General features: G+C 42.4%; 1 protein-coding gene across 10 annotated transcripts in view; it reads left to right on the top strand.

Moving 5' to 3' along the window:
- PLEKHG1 (pleckstrin homology and RhoGEF domain containing G1) overlaps positions 1–26,762 on the top strand; it is a 243,781-nt gene that overhangs the window by 170,626 nt on the left and 46,393 nt on the right. For 9 of the 10 annotated variants that reach the window (NM_001329804.2, NM_001029884.3, NM_001329805.2 and 6 more), the window contains 2 exons: positions 15,880–15,949; positions 25,346–25,392. The exons of the other annotated variant lie outside the window; for it this stretch is intronic. In NM_001329804.2, the coding sequence (NP_001316733.1) occupies positions 15,880–15,949; positions 25,346–25,392 (117 nt within the window). The remainder of the gene's footprint in view (positions 1–15,879; positions 15,950–25,345; positions 25,393–26,762) is intronic. 10 annotated transcript variants of the gene reach the window in all.

The following is a 26,762-nucleotide window of genomic DNA, read 5'->3' on the forward strand; positions in this document are numbered from 1 at the left end:
GATCCTACCTTCAGAAATTCTGACTCGTTGGTCGAGGTGGGGCCAGAACATCAGAATTTTTCAAAGGTCTTCAGGTGTTTGGAATGTGCAGCCATGGTTGAGATACACAGTCTAGATAAAATGAAAGAAAAAGAAAATAGAGAAAGGGCATAGAAACTGAATTAGAGAATCCAGAGTCTACATGTTCATTAGTAATGTGCTGGTGTGAAAGCCAGCCCTCATTGTGCAATCGCTGATGATAAAATCCTGTGAGCCCCTGCACAGTTTCTCCTTCCAGAGTCCACTAATGGTCCTGTAACCCAGAAAGAGGCAAGAGGGCTAGATCCTGGGAGGCCCCTGGCCTAGGTCTTCTGTGGTTTGGCTGTGAGTTGATGGTAGGGCATATTTATAGAGTGCTTGCTCCATGCCAGAGGCCGTAGAGCTTTAGATACATTTTCATTTCATATGCATTATCTCAGCCTCTCTGACTCCAAACCCCAGGCATTCAGCCACGTGCCCTCCTGCCAGAGTGGAGCCCTGCTTCTCTGGTTCATGAAGTTGTGGCTTACTCCAGGAGGGGCTCTTAATCGCTAGAGTTTAAATCTTTACGTGTCTCCTAATTTAAAGAAAAATAAGAATGAGGGTGGGCATGGTAGCTTACACCTGTAATCCCAGCACTTTGGGAGGCCGAAGTGGGTGGATCACTTGAGGTCAGGAGTTCAAGACCAGCCTGGCCAGCATGGCAAGACCCTATCTCTACTAAAAAATACAAATAAAATTAGCTGGGTGTTGTGGCACATGCCTGTAATCCCAGCTACTTGGGAGGCTGAGGCAGGAGAATCACTTGAACCCGGGAGGTGGAGGTTGCAGTGAGCCGAGATCGCGCCACTGCACTCCAGCCTGGGCAACAGAGTGAGACTCCATCTTGAATGAATGAATGAATGAATGAATGAACGAACGAACGAGTTGGCAAGAAGAGATCTTTGCAGTGGACCCCCGTCTGCAGAAGTTAGATGACTGAGATTTACATTCCTGAATCACATCTCTGTTCTTTTCTTTTTTCTTTTTTCTTTTGAGGCAGAGTTTCACTGTGTCGCCCAGGCTGGAGTGCAGTGGCGCAGTCTCGGCTCATTGCAACCTCCGCCTCCCGGGTTCAACAAATCAATAGGTGTATCGATTTCAAAGATACACCTATCTGGCAAATCTGTGGTTGGGGCTTGAAATAATAACTTTCAGCTCCTATTAGTTCAGGTCCAAGTTTTTCAAAATAATGTATTGTGGCCAACTAGGCAAGACTTAAATCTAAAATTAAAGAGGGCATAAAGAAATGGTATTATGCTGGCCTGAAAAATTCAACTGACTAGGTTTCTTTTTTCAGTAAAGATTTCCAAAATACAGAAAACCACAGAAAGACATTCTGTCAAAGAGTCAGGCGTGGCTCATGGGAGTTTGTCATATTACTCCTTTCTTTGTGTCTTATTTGCTTTAACATTTGTTTGAAGCATAAAGATATTATAAACAATATTGAATCCAGTTATATACCCTTCCCCAGTCACATTCTGCTCTGTGGAGAATGGCACCCTGATGTGTTGGTAAACCAGTTCTCCAGCATGGGGAAAGGGGAGGGAGGATCTGGAATTTATAATGTTTTTTGATTTCTGTGGTATAAACACTCCCATCACAGCAGATTTCAAGTTACTAACACAACATCACTGAACATGGAATTAAGAAGAGATGTGCAGAATTGGCTCAGGGAAGCCAGTGTAACCTGGCTTAGTACACAACTGTGCTGGAACTGCCATCCAAAACTTGTTGTTTCTTTCCCAAGCATGGTTTTGTTGCCATTACTATATATACAAGTATTTATTTAAAATGTGTAACATGCTGTGGGAGGCCCAGGTGGGAGGACTGCTTGAGCCAAGGAGTTTGAGACCAGCCTGGGCAACGTGGCGAAATCCCATCTCTACAAAAAATCAAAAAATTAGCAGGACATGATGGCACATGCCTGTGGTCCTACTGCACAAGAGACTGAGACAGGAGGATCGCTTGAGCCCAGGAGTTTGAGACTGCAGTGAGCTATGATGGCACCACTGCTCTCCAGCCTGGGCAACAGAGTGAGACCCTGTCTCAAAAAATAAGTCATATGCTTTCACCTATTTCAAACATGGCATACATGGTGTCAGCTTACAGGTTATTTTCACTCAACATTGTTTTTGGGATTTATAGCTCTAGTTCATTTAACTGCTGTGTATATTATCCATTGGTGATGATCTATCTCTGTATTTTGCCAATTGCGTTAAGATTGAGCATCTTTTCTTATTGGCCATTTTGATTTCCTCTGCAGTTTTCTGGCTCATATCCATTGCCCATTCTATTAGGATATTTCTTTTTCTTATTGTTGTATAGGAGTTCTTGATGAATTCTGGCCAGTGATCTTTGCAGATTATGTGAGATGTAAATATCTCCTACCGTGAGACATGCCTTTTAACTTTAATTATGGTTTATTTGAAAATAAATTGTATAACGTGTAAGTTTGACTAAGTATACTTTTTATAGTGCGTAGGTTTTGTGTTGTGTTTTTTTAAAAAGTCCTTTCAATCTCAGGTCATAAATATACTCTATTTTTTTCTAAAAGTCTTAAAATTTTGTCTTTCACATTTGTCCTTAATGTGCCTAACATTGATGGAGGCATGGTGTATAGTAAGGAGATCTAAACTCTTATTTTCATATGGCTAGCCACTGATTTGAAAAGTACTTCTCTCGGCTGGGTGCAGTGGCTCACGTCTGTAATCCCCGCACATTGGGAGGCCAAGGCAGGTGGATCACCTGAGGTTAGGAGCTTGAGACCCGCCTGGCTAATACAGTGAAACCCTGTCTCTATCAAAAGTACAAAAATTAGCCAGGCGTGGTGGCGAGTGCCTGTAATCCCAGCTACTCAGGAGGCTGAGGCAGGAGAATTGCTTGAGCCCGGGAGGCAGAGGCTGCAGTGAGCCAAAATGTTGCCACTGCACTTCAGCCTCGGCGACAAAGCGAGACTCCGTCTCAAAAAATAAAAATAAAAATAACAAGACTTACACGGATGTGTGGGTCTGTGTTCTCTTTCACTGGCCCACCCATTCTTGTCCCATACCACACTCCTCTGATGATCAAGCCCACATACATTGCTCTTCTTCAACACTGGCTTAGATTTTCTTGACTCTGCCCTGTCAAGGAATTTTTTTTTTAATTTGTCATTTCTTTGAACTACTCTATTGGGATTTTTATTGAAATTGCATTAAATTTTATAGATTAATTTCAACAGAATTGACATCTTTACATTACTGTCATCCCATCCATAAACATGTCTTCAAGCAAGCTTTTAAAATTTCCTTTAATATTTTCTAATTTCTCCATCAGATTCATACATGTAACTTTTATGTTTTTTTAAATACATGTAACTTTTAAAACTTTATTCCTAGATACTTACAGCTTTTGATGTTATTTGGACTAGAACATTTTCTCTATTGTTTAAATTGGATATTATCCTCATCTAGCAATGCTTTTGATTTTTATATGTCAATACTGTAACAAACTTTCTCAACTTTCCTGTTCTAAGAGTGGTTCATAGATCTCTTGGATTTCTGTGTAGACAATGATGTCTGAAAATGAGGAAGCTTTTTTGTCATCTTTTACAGTTCTTCTACCCTTTATTATCTTTTTCATGTCTTATTGCTTTGGGTAAGTCTTCCTATACAATATTGTTTAGACATTGGCGTCCTTATCTTCTTTTTGGCATTAGCAGGAATGTTTTACCCTTAAGTGTGATGTTTGCTATGGATTTAGACAAACACTTTTTTCCTCTTTTGCTAAAATTTTATTGTGAATATTGAGTTTTATTCATTGCTTAGTATGCCTTTAATAAAGTTAGCATATGATTTTACTCTTTCTATTCATAATGTGGTAAATATTAATAGGGGACCTGATTTGAATCATATGTAACATTACTAGAATAAACCCTACCCAGTCACAATGTTTTGTCTATTTAGGCACTGATTAGTTTGAATTTTTTTTTTTTTTTTTTTTTTTTTTTTGAGACACAGTCTCACTCTGTCATTCAGGCTGGAGGGCAATGGCACGATCTTGGGTCACTGCAGCCTCCATCTCCCGGGTTAAGCGATTCTCCTGCCTCAGCCTCCCAAGTAGCTGGGACTACAGGCACAGGCCACCACGCCCAGCTGATTTTTGTGTTTTTGTAGAGACGGGGTTTCACTGTGTTGGCCAGGCTGGTCACGAACTCCTTAATCCACCCACCTCAGCCTCCCAAAGTGCTGGGATTACAGGGGGGAGCCACTGTGCCATCCCAATTTATTTATATTTTTAAAAGAATTTTTAAAAATTCTTTTTTAAAATTAAAAAAAATTTTTTTTCAGACATGTTCATAAATGACAATAGTATATAATTTCTTTCCTTGTCCTGTCTTTGTTCAGTATTGGTATATGACTAGATTTAAATTGCTGTTTCACAAAATCTTCCATCATGAAATGTTTTGGAATACAATTGAAATTTTATTTTTGTGTTCTTTTTGATACCCAAATATCTCTTTCTCTTACAATCCCTATGATAACCTAGAAATTTAAGTCTCTGATTTGGTGTCTGGAATAAACAACCACAAGGTCAGGAAACTGGGTTAGTCAAAAGAAACCACTTTCCTCATTTGAACCAGCCCCCTAAAATCCAACAGCGTGTTTTACTGCAAACCAAAAAAGAAATGCCAAGTTTTAAAAAGAAAGTACCCCTCTCTTGGAATACAGAAACGTTACCTAAACAGTAATTTGAGCCTTTCTTTAAGAATGAAGAGTGAGGAAATAAAGATCATTCCTCCATATTGAATGTCTGATTTTAGACATTCAATTGTTTCTTAGGAGATTAAAATCATCTAAGCTCTCTCCTTCCCTCAGAAGATCAGAGTAAAACTTTCCTTTTTCCTTCAACTCTTTTCTTTATTCAGTATACCTATGTTGAGTCATTACTCTGTATGAAACCCTGGACTAGTCTAATAGTGTAAGGATGAATGACACCATTGTACAACAGAGGCAATAAGCCACATAATCAAGGAAGGAACAGAATGCTTTGTGAATGCTGAGGAATGTGCAATTAATTTTGTCTGAGGGGGACTTTACAGAGCAACTAACACATGTCTGAAGACAAAAGAAATTCTTTGGGCCACGCTTTTTCTTCTCCTTGCAATGTAATTTAAGTAGTGAAATCATGGGATTCGTACAACAGCAAGGCAAAGGAAGGTGGAATCGTTTTCTTTTTTAGTGCATTTTCATACCACCAAAATGTCTGACTTCTGCACAATGGTAGAGATATTTTTACCCACGCTTTTTTCAACTGGACTTTTCCAGGCCAGTGCCTGGAAAGTATGAGTGAAATTATTGGAGTAATTTCTCTTCCATGCATATGTGTCTCTGTGGATGCAGTGGGTTAAAATGCCAGCTGATTAGGCAACGGGAAAGGGAAGTGCTGCTCAGACCGGAAGGGGAGGGGCCGCATCCTCGAATCTCTCTCAGTGTAAAGCAATAGAAGGTTCAAGGTCATAATACAATTCCTGCCTCAAAGTTCGCATCAGGGGTCAGAAAAGCTTCACATGGGATATGTTCTGTAAAAGAGAACAGTGTTTCCTCTCATTTCCCACCCAACTAAGGGACCTGAGCTCAAGTAGGAAATTTTATAATTGTTTTAACCGTCCTACTCAAAAAGAAGAAAATATTTAAAATACTCAAGGAAACGAGAAAAGATCCAAATCCTGAAGGCAAGATGACTCTAATTTAGCTTAGAATACAAAACACAATCTGTGAGTTATTTCTTACTCCTAGTGTACATGTGCGGTTGCACATCAGCCACACTGATGCAATCCTGGTGCACATGTGCAGTTGCACATTACTCACACTGATGCAATCCTGGTGCACATGTGCAGTTGCACATTACTCACACTGATGCAATCCTGGCGTACATGTGCAGTTGCACATCAGCCACACTGATGCAATCCTGGTGCACATGTGTGGTTGCACATTACTCACACTGATGCAATCCTGGTGCACATGTGCAGTTGCACATTACTCACACTGATGCAGTCCTGGTGCACATGTGCGGTTGCACATTACACTGATGCAATCCTGGTGCACGTGTGGTTGCACATTACTCACACTGATGCAATCCTGGCGTACATGTGCGGTTGCACATCAGCCACACTGATGCAATCCTGGTGCACATGTGCAGTTGCACATTACTCACACTGATGCAATCCTGGTGCACATGTGCGGTTGCACATTACTCACACTGTTGCAATCCTGGCGTACATGTGCGGTTGCACATCAGCCACACTGATGCAATCCTGGTGCACATGTGTGGTTGCACATTACTCACACTGATGCAATCCTGGTGCACATGTGCGGTTTCACATCAGCCACACTGATGCAATCCTGGTGCACATGTGCGGCTGCACATCAGCCACACTGAGGCAATCCTGGTGCACATGTGCAGTTGCACATTACTCACACTGATGCAGTCCTGGTGCACATGTGCAGTTGCACATTACACTGATGCAATCCTGGTGCACATGTGCGGTTGCACATCAGTCACACTGATGCAATCCTGGTGCACATGTGCAGTTGCACATTACTCACACTGATGCAATCCTGGCGTACATGTGCGGTTGCACATCAGCCACACTGATGCAATCCTGGTGCACATGTGTGGTTGCACATTACTCAACACTAATGCAATCCTGGTGCACATGTGCGGTTGCACATCAGCCACACTGATGCAATCCTGGTGCACATGTGCAGTTGCACATTACTCACACTGATGCAGTCCTGGTGCACATGTGCGGTTGCACATTACACTGATGCAATCCTGGTGCACATGTGTGGTTGCACATTACTCACACTGATGCAATCCTGGTGCACATGTGCGGTTGCACATCAGCCACACTGATGCAATCCTGGTGCACATGTGCAGTTGCACATTACTCACACTGATGCAATCCTGGTGCACATGTGCGGTTGCACATTACTCACACTGATGCAATCCTGGTGTACATGTGCGGTTGCACATCAGCCACACTGATGCAATCCTGGTGCACATGTGTGGTTGCACATTACTCACACTGATGCAATCCTGGTGCACATGTGCAGTTGCACATTACTCACACTGATGCAGTCCTGGTGCACATGTGCGGTTGCACATTACACTGATGCAATCCTGGTGCACGTGTGGTTGCACACTACTCACACTGATGCAATCCTGGTGCACATGTGCGGTTGCACATCAGCCACACTGATGCAATCCTGGTGCACATGTGCTGTTGCACGTTAGTTACACTGATTCAATGAGAAATCCGTAGTCTCCACCCCCGAGGCTGTAACTGTAGAATCATCCCGTGTCTGGTATTTAGGAGTGTCTTCAGTGGCTGATGCACTGCATTCCAGGCCCCGACTGTGCTCCCATTGTACTTTGCGTGTTTGCATATCTTTTATAGCGAGATGTCTTCCTCTATCCCACCACACTCTCTGTTGCCCACCAAATTCCAGCCACTGTGGCTTCCTTTGTATACCTCACAGGAGAACCCACCAAGCTCATTCTATCCTGGTTTGCAATTCCATTCTTTTTTTTGAGACGGAGTCTCACTCTGTTGTCCAGGCTGGAGTACAGTAATGCAATCTAGGCTCAGTGTATCCTCCGCCTCCCAGGTTTAAGCAATCCTCCCTCCTCAACCTCCCAAGTAGCTGGAATTACAGGCGCTCACCATCACGCCTGGCTAATTTTTGTATTTTTAGTAGAGAGGGGGCTTCACCATGTTGGCCAGGTTGGTCTCAAACTCCTGGCCTCAGGTGATCCGCCCGCCTCAGCCTCCCAAAGTGTTGGTATTATAGGCATGAGCCACTGTACCCAGCCTGCAATCACATTCTTAAATGACTTTCTCTTCCAAGACTTCCTGCACTCAAATATCACCTCCTCAGAGAACCTTCCCTGACTGTCCCAACCTTCTTTCACCCTCGCCCAGCCTCAGTTGCTCTCTATCGTACTACCCTCTATTTCCTTCATATCACATAATACAATGTGATATTATGTTGTTTATTCACACTTATTAGTACTTTTCACCCCTGGTCAGATCATAAACACATGGGACAGGGCCTTTGTCCACCTTCTTTACCCCTGTAACCTTCTTGCCTGACATCCAGTCTTTTAGCAATTGCTTATTGAATAGCAAGCAGACAAAGTGGATAGGAACAGCTTCATGGGGATGATAGCCCCAGTGACAAGAGGATGAGAGAAATGCCATTACTTTCTCTTTACTAGTACCATTTTTATTGTGTTTATCCTGTTCTAGAAAAAGGTTGTAAAGGAAAGCTGACCAGGTAACTCAAACAAGACTTGTCTAGTAGGCAGTACCATGTTGAAGATATGACAGTGTGGAGTCTGGCCCTCAGCTTTGAGTGGAACAGCAAACAAATCTTTCAATAGATGTGTTTCTAAGAGAGTGCAGGACTGGGATTCAGAAGGCCTGAATCTAACCATGACTGTGGCCATGCATTATTGGCAGTGTGACCTAAGGTAAGCTACATCCTTTAATAAGCCATGGTTTCCTCACCTTAAAATTAGGGATCGGAACTGAAGGTATCTGAGTGCCCTCCCAGCTCTGTGGTTCTTGAGTGCCAGGCATTCATTCACAGATGAGGTACACCTGGAGCCTGGCTGGGTCCCCGAGACACTTCCTCCTACCAGGAAGTCCACTCGTGAGATGAAACTAAAGCTTGGAGGCAATCCGAACATACAATTTAAAACACAGGGGGTTAAATATTGTCAAGAAGTTTTTTTTTTTTTTTTTTTGAGACAGAGTCTCGTTCTGTCGCCTAGGCTGGAGTGCAATGGCGCGATCTCAGCTCTCTGCAACTTCTGCCTCTTGGGTTCACGTGATTCTCCTGCCTCAGTCTCCCGAGTAGCTGGGCTTACAGGCACCTGCCACCACACTCAGCTAATTTATGTATTTTTAGTGGAGACAGGGTTTCACCATGTTAGTCAGGTTGGTCTCAAACTCCTGACCTCAGGTGATCCGCCCGCCTCGGCCTCCTAAAGTGCTAAGATTACAGGCATGAGCCACCATGCCTGGCCTGCCAAGAAGTGTTTCTGTTGTGCTATGAGAAATAACAAGGCCGGGCGTGGTGGCTCACGCCCGTATTCCCAGCACTTTGGGAGGCCGAGGCTGGCAGATCATGAGATCAGGAGATCAAGACCATCCTGGCTAACACAGTGAAACCCTGTCTCTACTAAAAATACAAAAAATTAGTCAGGCATGGTGACACGTGCCTGTAGTCCCAGCTACTCAGGAGGCTGAGGGAGAATTGCTTGAACCCAGAAGGTGGAGGTTGCAGTGAGCCGAGATCACACTACTGCACACCAGCCTGGGTGACAGAGCGAGACTCCGTCTCAAAAAAAAAAGAAAGAAATAACATGATGGAGTCCGCTCACAGTTCTTCTCTGCTCAGAGAGAGGGCCTATACTGAAAGACCAGGACACAATACATCCAGAGCACCCCATCCTCTACTAATGGAAAACACTGGCCCAGAAATGTTTCTCTCTGGCTATTATTTTCCTTTTCTTTAATTTTTTTTTTTTTTTTGAGACAGAGTCTTGCTCTGTTGCCCAGGCTGGAGTGCAGTGGCATGATCTCAGCTCACTGCAACCTCCACCTCATGGGTTCAAGTGATTCTTCCGCCTCGACCTCCCGAGTAGCACCACACCTGGCTAATTTTTGTATTTTTAGTAGAGACAGGGTTTCACCATATTGGCCAGGCTGGTCTTGAACTCCTGACCTCATGATCTGCCCACGTCGGCCTCCCAAAGTGTTGGGATTACAGGCGTGAGCCACTGCACCTGGCCCTCTGGCTTTCATTTCCTCAGACCTTTTCTCTTACCTCATCTGGTATTCAGGTCAGAATGATGTGATTTCGACTCTCCTTAAACTCTTCCTTTTTTCCGTGAGAATACTGGACAGTGGCTCTCACAGGTGTAGCATTTACCCCGAGATAACTTTACCATGACATATCTCACTTTTATTATTATTTTCACATCACTCTAGTATATCGACTTTAAAAACAAAAGACATCATTCTCTTTATAGCATTCTGTTTTTAGTAGTGGTATTTCCATTTACAAAATATAGTAATTCTCAATTGCTGAAAATGTCAAATCTTAGAAAACATAGCATTCCTACGCATGATGTTAACGTCGTTCTTGAATGCTTGTTGGCCGAAGATTCATTTGATGAATCCAATTTTTCTGAAATAGATGATTCTGATGTTCTGTTTAGAGATTACTCCAAAAGCAGGGGGTTTTTTGTTTGTTTGTTTGTTTTTTCTGAGACAGAGTCTCACTCTGTCACCCAGGCTGGAGTGCAGTGGCACTATCTCAGCTCACTGCAACCTCTTCCTCCCGGGTTCAAGCAATTCTCCTGCCTCAGCCTCCTGAGTAGCTAGGATTACAAGCATGCGCCACCACGCCCAGCTAATTTTTGTATTTTTTAATAGAGAAGGGGTGTCACCCTGTTGGTCAGGCTGGTCTCGAACTCCTGACCTCAGGTGATCCACCTGCCTCGGCCTCCCAAAGTGCTGGGATTACAGGTGTAAGCCACCGCGCCCGGCCAAGAACAGTTTTTATATTTTATTTTCACATTGAAAATCAGTCAGATTAGGCTGGGCACGGTGGCTCACACCTGTAATCCCAGCACTTTGGGAGGCCAAGGCAGGTGGATCACCTGAGGTCAAGAGTTCAAGACCAGCCTGACCAACAGGGTGAAACCCCGTCTCTACTAAAAATACAAAAATTAGCCAGACGTGGTGGCACATGCCTGTAATCCCAGCTACTGGGGAGGCTGAGGCAGGAGAATTGCTTGAACCTAGGAAGCGGAGGTTGCAGTGAGCCGAGATCATGCCATTGCACTCCAGCCTGGGAGAAGATGCGAGATTCCATCTCCAAAAAAAAAAGAAAAGAAAAGAAAATCAGTAAGATTAGTTTCAGCCTCAAAGAGCATGTTTATGTAAAATTAAAAGAGCGCTGGCAGAGAGCTGAACTTTTTTTTTAAACGGGAAAAGAGTTAATTTAATCACTCCCATCTTTCTATAAAAGAAAATGATATAAATATCAGAACTATATTTTCTGATCTTTCAAAGGGAGTCTTTTATAGGAATATGGAGAAGAATGTTTGGAATTGGGACTGTTTTAAAAGATCCTTTCTTTTTCTTTTTCTTTTTTTTTTTTGAGATGGAGTCTCACTGTGTCACCCAGGCTGGAGTGCAGTGGCCCGATCTCGGCTCACTGCAAGCTCCACCTCCCGGGTTCACGCCATTCTCCTGCCTCAGCCTCCCAAATAGCTGGGACTACAGGTGCCTGCCACCACGCCCGGCTAATTTTTTTTTTTTTGTATTTTCAGTAGAGACAGGGTTTCGCTGTGTTAGCCAGGATGGTCTCGATCTCCTGACCTCGTGATCCACCCGCCTTGGCCTCCCAAAGTGCTGGGATTACAGGTGTGAACCACCATGCCCGGCCTTAAAAGATCCTTTCTAAGTGCAAGATAGGCCAGTGGATTTTAAAGTAATGGTACAGTAGCCAGGCGTGGGGGCTCACATCTGTAATCCCAGCACTTTGGGAGGCTGAGGCAGGCCCATCACTTGAGGCCAGGAGTTCAAGACCAGCCCAGCCAACATGGTGAAACCCTGTCTCTACTAAAAATAGAAAAGTTAGCTGGGCATGGTGGTGGGAGGCTGAGGTAGGAGAATCGCTTGAACCCAGGAGGCAGAGGTTACAGTGAGCCGAAATCACGTCATTGCACTCCAGCTTGGGCAGCAGAGCGAGACTCTGTCTCAAAAAAATAATAAAATAAAATAAAGTACCAGTATAGTACATTGATATGGTTTCAGACTCAAACAGGCCTTCAACCCATTACCACTTGCTGAGTTTCAGTGTAATATGAAGGATGTTAGTGGGCTATGAAAGATATCCATACTTATTGGAAATGCCATTAAAATACTCCCTCCTTTTCCAGTGACATATCTGTGTGCGACTGGATTTTTTTCCTATATACTTCAACCAAAACAACAGATTGCAACAGATAGAATGCAGAAGCAGATAGGACAATCCAGCTATGTTCTATTAAGTTAGAGATTACAAATTTGCAAAAAGGGGAAATAATGCTACTCTTCTCACTAAATTTTTTAAGAGTATAAACAGGTCCTGATGCCAAAAGTTTCAGAACCACTGCCTTGGAATGAGGAACACCACACAATAAACTCCATCCCTGCGAAGAGTTCATGATTGACGTTGTGGCTCATTTTCAAATATGAAAGGACAAATGAAGATACTCAGAATTTGAGAAGAGCATCTAACATGAATGACAGAAGCTAAAATCATCAAAAAGGGAGCTCAGCAGAAAACAAAGAACAGGAAAGAAAAGTACAAAATCATTATGATCATCATCATGGCGAGTTTGGAAATAAGGGAAGATTTTGCACGCATGAAATAAGAACAAAAGCATAAGCAAGAAACATCCAAAACACATGTTTAAAAAAAAACTTTGAAATTGAAAATCTGATGGTTGAAACAAAACAAAAAAATCAATAAAAGAAATGGGGAAAAAAAACTAAAAAAAAAAAAAAAAAGGGAAATAAAGGGGAGGTCTCCCCCCACAAAAAATGGAGGAATGAAAACAGGAAGATAGAGAGTAGAAGAGGAAGAGTAAGGAAAATTAGCGTATTAGACCAGGAGATCCAATATGTGAGTAATAGGAACTTTAAAACTGCAAGGGAGGAAATATCAAAGACATAATTCACGAGCAGAGATTCTTCTTTTTTTTTTTTTTTTAACGGAGTCTCACTTTTGTCACCCAGGCTGGAGTGCAATGGTGCAATCTCGGCTCACTGCAATCTCTGCCTCCCAGGCTCAAGTGATTCTCCTGCCTCAGCCTCCTGAGTAGCTGGGACTGCAGGTGTGTGCCACCACACCCAGCTAATTTTTGAATTTTTGGTAGAGATGGGGTTTCACTGTGTTGGCCGTGCTGGTCCCGAACTCCTGACCTCAGGTCATCTGCCCACCTTGGCCTCCCAGAGTGCTGGGATTATAGGCATGAGCCACCACATCCAGCCAGGAGCAGAGATTCTCAAGTGTTTTGGTCCAGGATCTCTTACATGCTTAAAAATTACTAAGGACTGAAAAAGCTTTTTTGTTTATGTTTTATTATGTTTTGTTTGCCACATTAGAAATGAAAACCGAGAACCTGTTAAGATGTCTATTTATTTAATACTAAAAAAGAACAAGCCCACATATTTCTAGAAAAATAATTTTACTACTTTTTCTACTAAATTTTTTTGTTTGTTTTGGAGCTGTTTTACATTTTTACAGATCTTGTTACTGCCTGACTTACTAGAAGACAGCTGAATTCTCATATCTGCTTCAACTTTCCATCTGTTGTGATATCACACGTCATGTAGCCTCTGGAAAAGTTCACTGTACTCTCATGAGAGAATGAAAGTTTAAGAATTTCATAATGTCTCAGTATTTTTATGAGGTCCAACCTTGTGGACCTCCTGAAGGGGTCTTGTCTCAGGAACCCCAGAGGTCGTTAGACCACACTTGGAGAACTGCTATCCAGATCATTTCCCAAATTTGTACATTTGCTCAGTGCATGAAAAAGACCCACCCAAAGCCTACTATCACAAAATTTTGTAATTATGTCAACTAAGAGAAAACTTTAAAAGCTTTCAGAATGGGCTGGGGGTCATCAGAATGATACTGGAATCTCAATAGCAGCATTGGAATCTATAAATCACAGGTAGACAAATAGCTCCCTGAGTACTCAGAGAAAATTACTTCCAACCAAGACTTTTATATCTACTGACATCATTAGCCAAGTGCGAAGGGAGAACATTTTTGAAACAGGAAGAGTCTCAGAAAGCATACCTTCTGTTACTCTTACTCAGAAACTATTGCTCGATTTTGTAATCTCCCAAAGGAAGGAATACATTGGAAATAGCAATACAGAAGACCAGCAAAGGCTATCATTAGGATGGTGTTGAAGAAACAACCAGCAGGCCTGGACAGCAGCCTGTCCAGGTTGGAGCAGAGGTCACCAAGAAAGAAATGCAAAGCATAGAATATCTGATATTTGAACACAGTGAGACAAGATTGATACTTCTGGCATACAATTTGCTAATAAATTAATGGTCTTTATCTTGAAAAAAGAAAAAAAAAGAGAAACAATTTTAACTCCAGGGAAAACATGATTCTCTAAGAAAGGAAATGAAATCATAGTATACTCTGAGGCTAACAGGGCATAATACTTACATAGTCTTAAAGATGTAAATTCTGACATTTAATCGAATCAAATTACATAACAGAACTAGTTAAGAAGGCTGGCCACGGTTGCTCACACTACCCAGCGCTTCAGAAAGATCACTTGAGCCCAGGAAGACCTGCCTGGTTGACAGAGTGAGACCCTGTCTCTAAAATTAAAAAAAAAAAAAAGAGAGAGAGAGACATCTTAGAACTAGTTGAGAAGACAGAAGGGTAAGTTTGAGGAAACTGAGAGTAAATAATACCTAAAGTTGAAAAATAATGAAAACACATTATCAGCATGGTTAGAAGCATGGACCTTCTTAGAGCAGAAATAGCCTAAAGAATCAAAAATGCTTCTGGGCAGTGCCCATCGAGAATGAGAATCTGAAAACCAGAAACTGCTTGTTTTTATCATAATTCCTGTAGAACTACTTCACTTTTTATTAAATATATAGCATATGACTCATTAAAATAAATACTTAGCATAGTAAGGTGTATATTAGTATAACTCATGTGGAGTGCAATTTAGAAATGTGTTAACATTTACACTGAGAATGTTCTTTGACCCATCAATTCCATATGTAGAATTTTATCCAACAGTGTGAGATTCATTGAATCAATTATGGTACAGTCACACAATGAAGTATTATGCTGTTACTTAAAATAATGATACTCCTAGTAAAAAAATAACATGAATTTACATTTGAGGAAAGATATTTCCCTTCCCAGCATATCTCTCCTTTAAAGCACTATCTCTATTATAATTTTGTATTCATTAGTGTGATTTTTCATTGAATGCTTGACTCTTCCAATGGATTGGAAGCTCCATAAGACCAGAGCCATGGAGTCCCCAACCCCCAGGTCACAGACAATACCAGTTTGTGACCTGTTAGGAACTGGTCTGCAGAGCAGGAGGTGAGAGCAAGTGAAGCTGAGCTCCACCTCCTGTCAGATCAGTGGCAGCATTAGATTCTCATAGGAGCACACACCCTATTGTGAACTGTGCATGCGTGGGATCTAGGTTATGAGAATCTAATGGTAAGTGTAATGCACTTGAGTCATCCCAAAACCATCCCCACAATCCAGTCTGTGGAAAAGTTGTCTTCCACGAAACTGATCCCTGGTGCCAAAAAGGTTGGGGACCTCCGAGAGCCCATGTCTTACTTTGCTCACTGATGTGTTCCTAGTACAGGTACACTGTACCTGGTACCTAGGCAGCTATTTGATGTCTGAATGAGCATGGGTGAGCATTCAAGTAGATGATGACAAACGTCTGCAAAACTTAAAGATAGGCAGGGCTTAGCTCTGGTGGGAGAGTTATGGGTTCAACCTGGGTTTAATCCCCTGCTCCACCATGACCTTGGGCAAGTCCCTTACCTAAGCCTTGGATACAATGACAGCAGATCCTCAGTTATCCAATTATATGATTCCTTGTAAATGCCATGGAAATGTTTAAACTTTTAAATTATACAAAATGTACTCACCCAGAAGACTACAATCTAATACTTCCTGGCTGTTATTTTTTTATTAGTGAACTTCTGCAAGATTTGGAAAACTGTGAAAATGATCCTGTGGCCATAGCAGAGTGTTTTGTGTCCAAGGTAAGCAGGGTTCATCCTTCTGGGCCAACTGAGACAGATACAGAGTACAGAATTTTTCATTTTAAAGTTAAAATGACTGGTTTGTTTCATATCAGATAGAGTTAGCCACTAATCTTTCTCTGGTTTCTTTGTTTGAGTAGCAAAAATGTATTGTTCCTGGAGCCAGGGAGATGCTAATCTAGTAGTTGTTCTAGAACTTGTACAGTAACTGAATAATGTTACTCTTTGCTGGGAAAAACTTAAAGCTTGGGAGGGGAGAGTCCGGAGTAGAAGAATGTTAGAAAAATGGGCCGGGCATGGTGGCTCACACCTATAATCCCAGCACTTTGGGAAGCCGAGGTGAGTGGATCATCTGAGGTCAGGAGTTTGAGACCAGCCTGGCCAACATGGTGAAACCCCGTCTCTACTAAAAACACAAAAATTAGCCAGGCGTGGTGGTGTGCCTGTAATCCCAGCTACTAGGGTGGCTGAGGCAGGAGAATCACTTGAGCCCAGGAGGCGGAGGTTGCAGTGGGAGCCAAGATAACGCCATTGCACTCCAGCCTGGGTGACAAGAGTGAGACTCTGTCTCAAAAAAAAAAAAAAAAAAAAAGAAGATGAATGTTAGAAAAATATAAAATACCACTGAACTGGTTTAGTTTAGTGAAAGTTTAGTTTTAGTGAAAGTCCAAGAGAATCTAAATATTTTACGTATAATATATGTGGCACTAGCCTAGTCTCTATAATTATCTTTCTTTTGAGGGATAGAGAGAAGCAGAATTAATCTCCTACATTTTAAAAATGTACTCTTCCACTGTTTTCTTAAGCTGCATCAGTGGTTTCGAAAAATACAAGGAAAGGATTTGACTTTCAAAGCTTAAATGACAGTGAGCTCGTGCTCCGAAGTGGAATAGGTGATGGAATTCTGAAACCTACCCTTTCCTACAATGTGGCCTTTCCTACATTGCTTTCTCAGCATGCTGCCTAGTATATAGAGATTTCTGTCTTGTTTAAATTCTCTTAAACATTCAACCGCTTTTGTTTGGAAAGCCTTTAGCAGAAATTGTTTTGCAGCAAACTTTCATGTGGTTTCTGCATTTGTAGTTTGAAATGCACGAAGGTTTAATAAAAGTTCATGATGGCGCTTTGAGACCCACTGGGAATTAGCACACGCGGAGTCCGGTGTGAACTGGGAGATGTCGCTCCAGTCTGACCTGGCTCTGGACTGTTCCACAGGGTCATTTCTGATGGTGGCAGATGCATCCTGATGGCTTCCAAACACAACACCCTGGGTTTTATTGGAGCAAAGTTCCTTAAAGGCACAATCCATGGGCTTATATGTAAAGGCACAATCCATGGGCTCTCCTGACTTTGTGTGTGTGTGTTCACATGTAAAGTGTGCACACACGTTTACCTGTGTGTAAGCTTACACATACAATCCTTTTCACAAGTTGCCTGTGTCAAAATTGAGCAGGGATTTGAAAAAAAGAAGAAAAATGAAAGAAGGCAAAATGGCTAAAAAGATATGCTGGGTATATCAAAGGAGATATGTTAGAATAACCACAGCACATAAACAACGTAGAAGCTTTCGGAAACGTTTGGGCTTTTACTGGTAACTGTAATCACAAGTTGATTAAAGATGTTCCAGCGTATGCTTAGCTCTCGCTTAATTATTCACATAAAAGTTTGTTTATGTGCCACGTTGCCAACTCCCAAATCTTCCTTTTCATTGTAATATTGCCAAGTTTAATTAGAAGACTGACTTGAGCTCTCTGCACTTTCGCATGGAAACAGGGAATCCTGAGGGAGTGCTGGGCTCAGGCACTGCCTGCCTTTCACTCAGCAGCCTGACATTTAGAAGATGTTACGTCTTCTGAAACACAACCAGCTGTTCAACTCTAGGGAGGAATGGAAAATTGCTTTAATTGGGAGGCCGTTAATGAAAGAGGTGAAGCTGACAGTTGACTTCTGCTTTTATCTGAACCACTGGGGCCTGCACAGAGATTCATCTTTGACCTTGCTTACTGTCGTGGTATGTGTAGGTTACAGAAGTCCTTATCGACAGATGGAGAACATGGTTGCTTTTTACCTGATGCTCATGGAAGAATGAACCCACAGTTCTCCTGAAGGACAGAAATTAAAGTTTCGTGCTGGGCAGGCCAAACCTTCTCCCAGTAAACATTTGTCTGTTTTAGGTCTCTGGAAACACCTAGAATGGCTCACTTTGCTGCCTTTACCTCCACCTTCACATCCACCTCTCATCTTGACTGGCAGCAAGGCTGACCCAGGGCAACGTTTAGGAGGGAGACAAAGTCTGTCTTTAGAGCCTCAACCTCCCCTTAGCTGCCTACTCTCCCTCGTTGTGTGGCTCTCTCTCTGTTGGTGCCTTCTTCCTTTTAGAGCCCAGGGAGTGAGTGTGTGTGCACACACACACGCATACACACACACACATGCACACACACAAGCATGCACATGTACCACCCACTTACTGAAATTATCCTCAAGGAAGTGTGGATATTGGATAGTCATATGATTAGAGTGAATTTAAGTCAAAGTTACCCGTATGCTGTTTACATATTAAGTCTTTCTTGTAGTGTCCAGTGAAAACTTCTCAGGAATCAGAGAGGGAGAGGAGGACCCTGGGGCAGAAGAAACCCTAAAATCATACATATTGCTTTACTGTGGCTACCTATTCAATAAATATTTGAGAGACTTAGGTGCTTGATTGGTCAGCACTGATTATATCATATTTTGGCTCTTTCATAATTAAATGTCTCATTTCTATGTCATCTCTGATTACAATTTGAAAGATTTGAAGAACTAGAAGGAAATATCTTTTCTTATGATTTATATATATTTGTATAACACATTCCCTTAAATCCTTCTAAGCCGATTTGGGGTGGCATATTTAATAACTAATGGTATCTAACTAGGAGCTGTTGACTTTTATGTGAAACCATCATTTGTAAGGTCCACAGAGCTTCACAAACCTAAGGGCAAACTTGCATTTAATTCCAGTTAAAGATATATAACTGATTTAAATCACAGCCCTCCAATTTAAAATAGGAATAGAGCCATGATATCACAAAATGCACAGAAATTCAATCGTGCAGAAGTCATGAGGTCTTATGATAGCTGGCTAGGAGTAAGTCACTATATTATGCAATGTCAACCTAATTTCATTGAAACCATTGTTTTCTAATTTGTATTTCAAATGATCCTACAGGTCCAAAATTGTAAGGAAAGTCAACTTGATATTGTTCTATTCCAGGTTGAGTATAGCAAGAGGCAGGAAAGAAAAAGCAAGAAACTCAAAAAGTATGAGCCAATCAGAGAAAAGTCCCCATTTGGTACATTAACTTGCTCACAGACCTTGGGCAAGTCACTCTGGCATTTTCATCCATGGAGCCAGGGCTGGCTTCAAGAACCAATAAGTGAACTCAAGTGCACAAAGGGGCCCAGGTGGAGTCTATAGCAGTCGAGGTGTTTGCCTGGTCTCCTGGGGATGGTCATTGCCATGTGAAACTGCAGGCCCAGGGCTGGTGGGTCTTATACTTCTTCAGGAGAAGCTAGAAATTGAAATATTTTTTTTTCTTCTTGATACAGAGTTTCGCTCTTGTCACCCAGGCTGGGGTGCAGTGGTGCAATCTTGGCTCACCACAACTTCCGCCTCCCAGGTTCAAGCAATTCTCCTGCCTCCGCCCCCACGAGTAGCTGGGATTACAGGCATGTGCCACCACACCCGGCTAATTTTGTATTTATTTTTTTAGTAGAGATGGGGTTTCTCCATGTTGGTCAGGCTGGTCTTGAACTCCTGACCTCAGGTGATCCACCTGCCTTGGCCTCCCAAAGTGCTGGGATTACAGGCGTGAGCCACCGTGCCTGGCCAAAATCAAAATATTTATATCTTTCAACTTTTAAAAGTTGACAACTAATTTAGACTTTTTTAAATACCATGCTTGAAAATTTGGTACAATGCTTGAAATGTTGGCAAGGCCATGGGGAAACAGACACTCATAACTGTAGGAAAAGAAAATGGCACAGCCCCTATGGAGAGGAATTGGGCTGTGTGTCTAGCATCTGAATTCACCCTTTCACCCACCAGTCCTACATCGAGAGATCTATTCCAAGGATACACTTAACAGAAATTCATGTAAGCATAATACTGTTCTTTGCAGTAATGTTTGTTACTGCAAAAGACTAGAAACAGCCAAATGTCCCTAAACAAGAAGCTGTTTGAATCAACTGTAGTATATCCACGTAATGAAGTACTGTGAAGCAGTAACAGTAAAGAATATCTCGGCCGGGCATGGTGGCTCATGCGTGTAATCCCAGCACTTTGGGAGGCCGAAGGGGGCAGATTACCTGAGATCAGGAGTTCAAGATCAGCTTGACCAACGTGATGAAACCCCATCTCTACTAAAAATACAAAAAAATTGCCAGGCATGGTGGCAGGCGCCTGTATTCCCAGCTACTTGGGAGGCTGAGGCGGGAGAATCACTTGAACCCAGGAGGTGGAGGTTGCAGTGAGCCGAGATCGTGCCACTGCACTCCAAGCCTGGGCGACAGAGTGAGACTCCGTCTCAAAAACAAAAGAAAAAAGAATATATACTCCTCTGGGGAGGGAGTGGATAAAAGTGTGTGTACAGCACTGTGGTTCCCAAAGTGTGGTCTTGGACCTGCAGCATCAGCGTCACTTGGGAACTCGTTAGAAATGCAGATTCCTAGGCCCTACTCTAAGACCTACTACATCAGTAACCCAGCAATCTATGTTTTAACAGTCCCTCCAGGTAATTCTGATACTCAAGTTTGAGGATCACTGGTATAACATGATTTGTTTATCTAGGAGAGGAAAACCTGTAAGATTAAAAATTGATTACCAATGGAGGAATGGAGGGAACAGACTAGAAGGGAAAAGAATAGAGGTTCGGCTTCTTTGGAGGCTGGGAGCGGTGGCTCACACCTGTAATCTCAGCACTTTGGGAGGCCAAGGTGGGTGGATCATTTGAGGCCTGGAGCTTGAGACCAGCCTGGCAAATATGGCAAAACCCCATCTCTACTAAAAAATAAAAATAAAAAAATTAGCTGGGCTGTAGTGGAACATGCCTGTAATCCCAGCTACTCAGGAAGCTGAGGCAGGAGAATTGTTTGAACCCGGGAAGCAGAGGTTGCAGTGAGCCAAGATGGTGCCACTGTATTCCAGCCTGGGTGGCAGAGCAAGACTCTGTCTCAAAAAAGAAAAAAAAAAAAAAAAGAGGCTTCTTTGAATATGAATTTCTTTGTAGAATTGACTTTGAAGCCATGTAAATATTTTACATAATTATAGAACAAAACTAAGGTTCCAAAAAGCAGTCTCCACAAACTGAAAGCAAAATTAAACTGTATCCGGTTGGTGGCATAACCATGCAGTAGGAATTTCAGTTGATTTGAAAATATGCTTTAGATGAAACACAGCAAATACATCTCTAACTGTTTAATAATGATACTATTTATGGTGGTGTTGCTATTGTTATTCTGAAATTATTGAGTGTGTTGCAAGATAAAGCAAAGAAGTATTTATGTTAGCATCATTGAGAAATGGAATTGGTAGGAGAAAGAAAACACAGACAAAAGAATGAGTGTAGCTAATCAAAAGTGCTGTAGTCCTGTATCTGAATTATTAATGTAAGTGTTAGTATAAACTAAAGTTGTATTTTATCCTTTAAAAAAAACACCACTTCCTATCCTGGCCAACATGGAGAAACCTCATCTCTACTAAAAATACAAAAATTAGCCGGGCGTGGTGATGCATGCCTGTAGTCCCAGCTACTTGGGAGGCTGAGGCAGGAGAATCACTTGAATCCAGGAGGTAGAGGTTTCATTGAGCTGAGATTGCACCACTGCACTTCAGCCTGGGTGACAGAGCAAGACTCAGTCTCCAAAAAAAAAAAAAACCAAAAAAACACCACTTCCTGGCTGGGCGCGGTGGCTCACACCTGTAATCCCAACACTCTGGGAGGCCAAGGCAGGCGATCACCTGAAGTCGGGAGTTCGAGACCAGCCTGGCCAACATGGCTAAACCCCATCTCTACTAAAGATAGAAATATTTAGCTGGGTGTGGTGGTGAGTGCCTGTAGTCCCAGCTACTCAGGAGGCTGAGGCAGGAGAGTCACTTGAACCCAAGAGGCAAAGGCTGCAGTGAACCGAGATTGCACCACTGCACTCCAGCCTAGGTGACAGAGCAAGACTCCATCTCAAAACAACAACAACAACAAAAAAAAACCACACCACTTCCTAACTCTGTCCACTGAAAAGTCCCAGAAATGATGATTGCCCTACAGCAAGAGTATCCCTGATACCCAGATTGTGGTCTCCAAACACTGTTTCCTGCCAGAAGGAATAGGGGCTCCATGAAGAATGAGTGTGGGGCACAAAATATACAAGATAGTCTGGGACATCTTGTCACACCAGGAAACAAGCTACAAAAGACCATAGGCCAGGTCATGAATGCTCAAGAAGGGGCTCCTACTAGCCAAAAATGGGATAATTTGAACATCAGTGAAGATAATTAACTGAAAACAATGGAAACTCATTAAATAGGCTCATATTAATGAATTTGCAGTGATATTAAAACACCAAATTGATCACCTTTGCATGACGCTGGAGAACCAATACATTATTTTGAAAATTAAAGGCAAGAATTGGCTGGGTGTGGTAGCTTATCCATGTAATCTCCTACACTTTGGGAGGCTGAGGCAGGGGGATCACTTGAGCCCAGAAGTTTGAGACCAGACTGGGCAATATAGCAAGACCCTGTCTCCATAAAAAGTTTTAAACTTAGCCAGAGGTGGTGGCACGCCTGTGGTCCCAGCTACTCTGGAGGTTGAGGTGAGAGGATCACTTGAGCCTGGGAGGTTGAGGCTGAAATGAACTGTGACCACCACTGTACTCCAGAATGGGTGACAGAGCAAGACCCTGTCTTGAAATAAAAAGGAAAGAATTAAACATTTATTCTGCCTTTCCCATACAAATCATAAACTGCAGAGTAACCAAGAGTTCATAGAAGGAGGTTCTTTTTTTGGAAAGATTCTAGCTAATAAATAAAGAAGGAATAAAGTATTAGAAATACCACCATTTTCCAACTCCTAATAAATTAATAGATCTAGCCAATAAGTACCAATGGTTGTTAGCATCACAGAAGAGAGACAACCAGACTTTATGTCCATTGGACTTCCCAATTCCATTAGACTTCCATTGTACTTCCATTAGAGGAAGCACAAAACAGCTGCTAGTGTATTGTGCCAAATTACGGAACCTAAATCTGAGCAAGTCTCTACTAAACCAGTACGAGTATAATGGACAGGGCATATTAAATGAAACCAGGCCAGGCGTGGTGGCTCATGCCTGCAATCCCAGCACTTTGGGATGCCAAGGTGGGTGGATCACTTGAGGTCAGGAATTCAAGACCAGCCTGGCCAACATGGTGAAACCCCATCTCCACTAAAAATGCAAAAATTAGCCAGGCATGGTGACGCATGCCTGTAATCCCTGCTACTTGAGAGGCTAAGGCAGGAGAATCACTTGAACCTGGGAGGCAGAGACTGCAGTGAACCAAGATCGTGCCACTGCACTCCAGCCTGGGCAACAGAGCGAGAATCCATCTCAAAAAAATAAAACAGAAACTCTAGAGATGTCATTGGTAATAGTGGAACTGGGGCTGTGCCGCACAGTGTGGTTTCTTCAACTCACTTGCAAAAGGAAGAAAAATAGGGGAGAACTTAAAGATGAAAAGAGACTACTAAAGAGATATCAACCATTTGCTCTGTGTGATTGTTATTTGCAAATCAAACAGGCAAAAGATTTTAAAAAGAAAAAAAGGAAATATGAATAGTGACTGGTGAAACTTCATGATGTTATTGAATTATTTAAGTGTAACAATGGTATTATGTTTAATGTCCTTATTTTAGTCTGGGCATGGTGGCTCATGCCTATAATCCCAACACTTTGAGAGGCCAAGGCCGGTGGATCACTTGAGGCCAGGAGTTCGAGACCAGCCTGACCAACATGGCGAAACCCTATCTCTACTAAAAATACAAAAAATTAGCTGGGTGTGATAGCGTACACCTGTAGTCCCAGCTACTCAGGAGGCTGAGGCAGGAGAATTGCTTGAACCCAGGAGGCAGAGGTTGCAGTGAGCCGAGGTTGCGCCACTGCACTGCAGCCTGGGCAACAGAGTGAGGCTCCGTCTCAAAAAAATAAAGTCCTTATTTTAGAGATACATGTTAAAATATTTACAAGGAAAATGATGTCTAGAATTTAATTCAGAATGATGGGGAAGCAGGGGAATGGGGGGTGGGGCAGAGACGAGGAGTTAATGATTATTGAGGTTGGACGATGGAAACTTGGGGATTTATTATACCATCCTCTCTACTTTTATATATGCTTGAAACTTTCCATTTTAAAAAAAAGTTTAACCTAATTCCAGTTGAGGTTAACAGGAAGGATTCTAAGTAGAGATTTTAGAATTTAAAAAAATTAAAGCTACCTGAAAAATAGGCACTTAGAGTCACATGTGAATCTTAGACCACATTAAGTGGTCTAAAAAGTAAAAGTAAAAGTTAAAAAAAAATTGGAGAATGTGAAACCCCACCAAAATAATCTGTGGCTCTTTTTCAAAATATAATTTCAAGGCCAGGCATAGTGGCTCATGCCTGTAATCCCAGCACTTTGAGAGGCTGAGGCAGGCGGATAACTTGAGACCAGGAATTGGAGACAAGCCTGGCCAACATAGCAAAACCCCATCTTTACTAAAAATACAAAAAACTAGCTGGGCGCGGTGACGCATGCCTGTAATCCCAGCTACTCAGCAGGCTGAAGCACAAGAATTGCTTGAACCGGGGAGGCAGAGGCAGAGGCTACAGTGAGCAGAGATTGTGCCACTGCACTCCAGCCTAGGCGACAGAGCGAGATTCCATCTCAAAAAAAAAAAAAGTAATTTTATTTTAGATTTTGCAAAAGCTAGTAATTTATTGGCCTTGAATTAATTATTCTGACTGAAAGCCTTATCAAAAGTTCTGGCCACTTCCCCTCCCTGTCTACATACCTCGTTTCTTTGGCAGTCTAGGAAAACATTGTGAAAGACATTGAAATCCACCAAAGCCGGGCATGGTGGCGCATTCCTGTAATCCCAGCTACTCGGGAGGCTGAGGCAGGATAATCGCTTGAACCGGGGAGGCGGAGGTTGCAGTGAGCCGAGATCATGCCATTGTACTCCAGCCTGGCCAACAAGAGCAAAACTCCGCCTAAAAAAAAAAACAAAAAACATATATATATATATATAAATGTCAAGGCCCGAATGCTATTTCTTTTTATTGTTTTCAAATGAATGTTTATGTTTGTGCTTTGTTGCCTATAAAAATTTCTTTTGTTTCCTTGCAGAGTGAAGAGTTCCACATTTATACCCAGTATTGCACTAACTATCCAAGGTATGGATCGAGAATGGGCCAAGAGTACTTTTGTTCACTTTCACATTGTTTCAAGTCAGCTGGTGCAGTACACATGGTTGTTAGGCATTCTGTGCCTGGCCTTGTGCTGAATACTATGGGAAGAATGCAAAACGTGCTGAGAACAGATTACAGGGGCACCCAGATATGGATCCGTCTGGGCTTTGGGGCTCCCTGCAGAGCCAGTGTGGGGAAAAATTGTAAAAGTCTATGGAGAAACCAAAAAGATGACTAGGTATCTCCAAAAGGAAACTAAGCAAGCTATTGCATCAGGCCGCAAGTCTTGCCTGCTCACCCTTTTCTGTGTGTGTCATGTTTTTAAGAATTTAGGAAACACTGCTAATGAGTTTCTATAATCTAGATGGGGAGAGAACAGATTCTATTTTTTTCCAAATAAGTTTTATGAACTATATAAGTTTAATGGAGTTCAGAGGAAGGACAGATCATCATAAGCCTAGATGAGAAGAGGGGCATCGTCATCTCGCCTGGGTTGTTGGTTCAGTTTTCCTTGCATTGGAAATCAATGGCACAAGGGCAGTGTAGGAAGCATCCTTGGACAATGTATTAACCATTTCAGTAAGGGAGTTGGGCCTAAGATGATGGGCTACAACGGTAGGAATTTCTTTTTTTCTCCAGAAGACATTTATTGGGCACTTACTAATTCCTAAGCCCTGTGCTAAATGCTGTAAATACAAAATACTGAATTTAACTTTTCAAAGCAATCCAGAGACATTGAGGGATTTTTTTTAAGCAGAGCACCTATCCCAGTGCCTGGCCCCTCCTAAGTTCTTCATAAGTGCTAGTTCACCATCACCCCTGCCCCTTCCCCATTTCATAGATGAAGTAACTGAGGCTCTGATAGGTAAGGTGATTCTCTGAGGGGTGCATAGCTGATGAATGGCCCAGCTTGGATTTGAACCAAGGTTTCTTCTCTGACTTTTAAGACCTCGTGCTGCTATGAGTATGTCCTTTGAAAAGTTTCTGAAACTTTGTGATTCTCCCCCTGCCTTTTTATTTTCCTTTTTTTCCACATGATTAGCAGACTTTGAGTTATGGGGTTTTTTTGTTTTGTTTTGTTTTGTTTTTTTGAGACAGAGTCTCACTCCGCCACCCAGGCTGGAGTGCAGTGGCGCGATCTCAGCTCACTGCAACCTCTACCTTCTGGTTCAAGTGATTCTCCTACCTCAACCTCCTGAGTAGCTGTAATTACACCGCACCCCACCAGACTTTGAGTTATCTTAAGGACCAGCCAGGAAGAAGAGAGCTAGGGAGACTTTACACACTCTGTAGCCAGTCTTGGTAGACAGGTCCCTGACGATAAAGTGGATGGTGGGATCCACCTAGAAGAGAAG

Source organism: Homo sapiens, chromosome 6 (genome assembly GCF_000001405.40).
Source record: "Homo sapiens chromosome 6, GRCh38.p14 Primary Assembly".
NCBI lineage: Eukaryota > Metazoa > Chordata > Mammalia > Primates > Hominidae > Homo > Homo sapiens.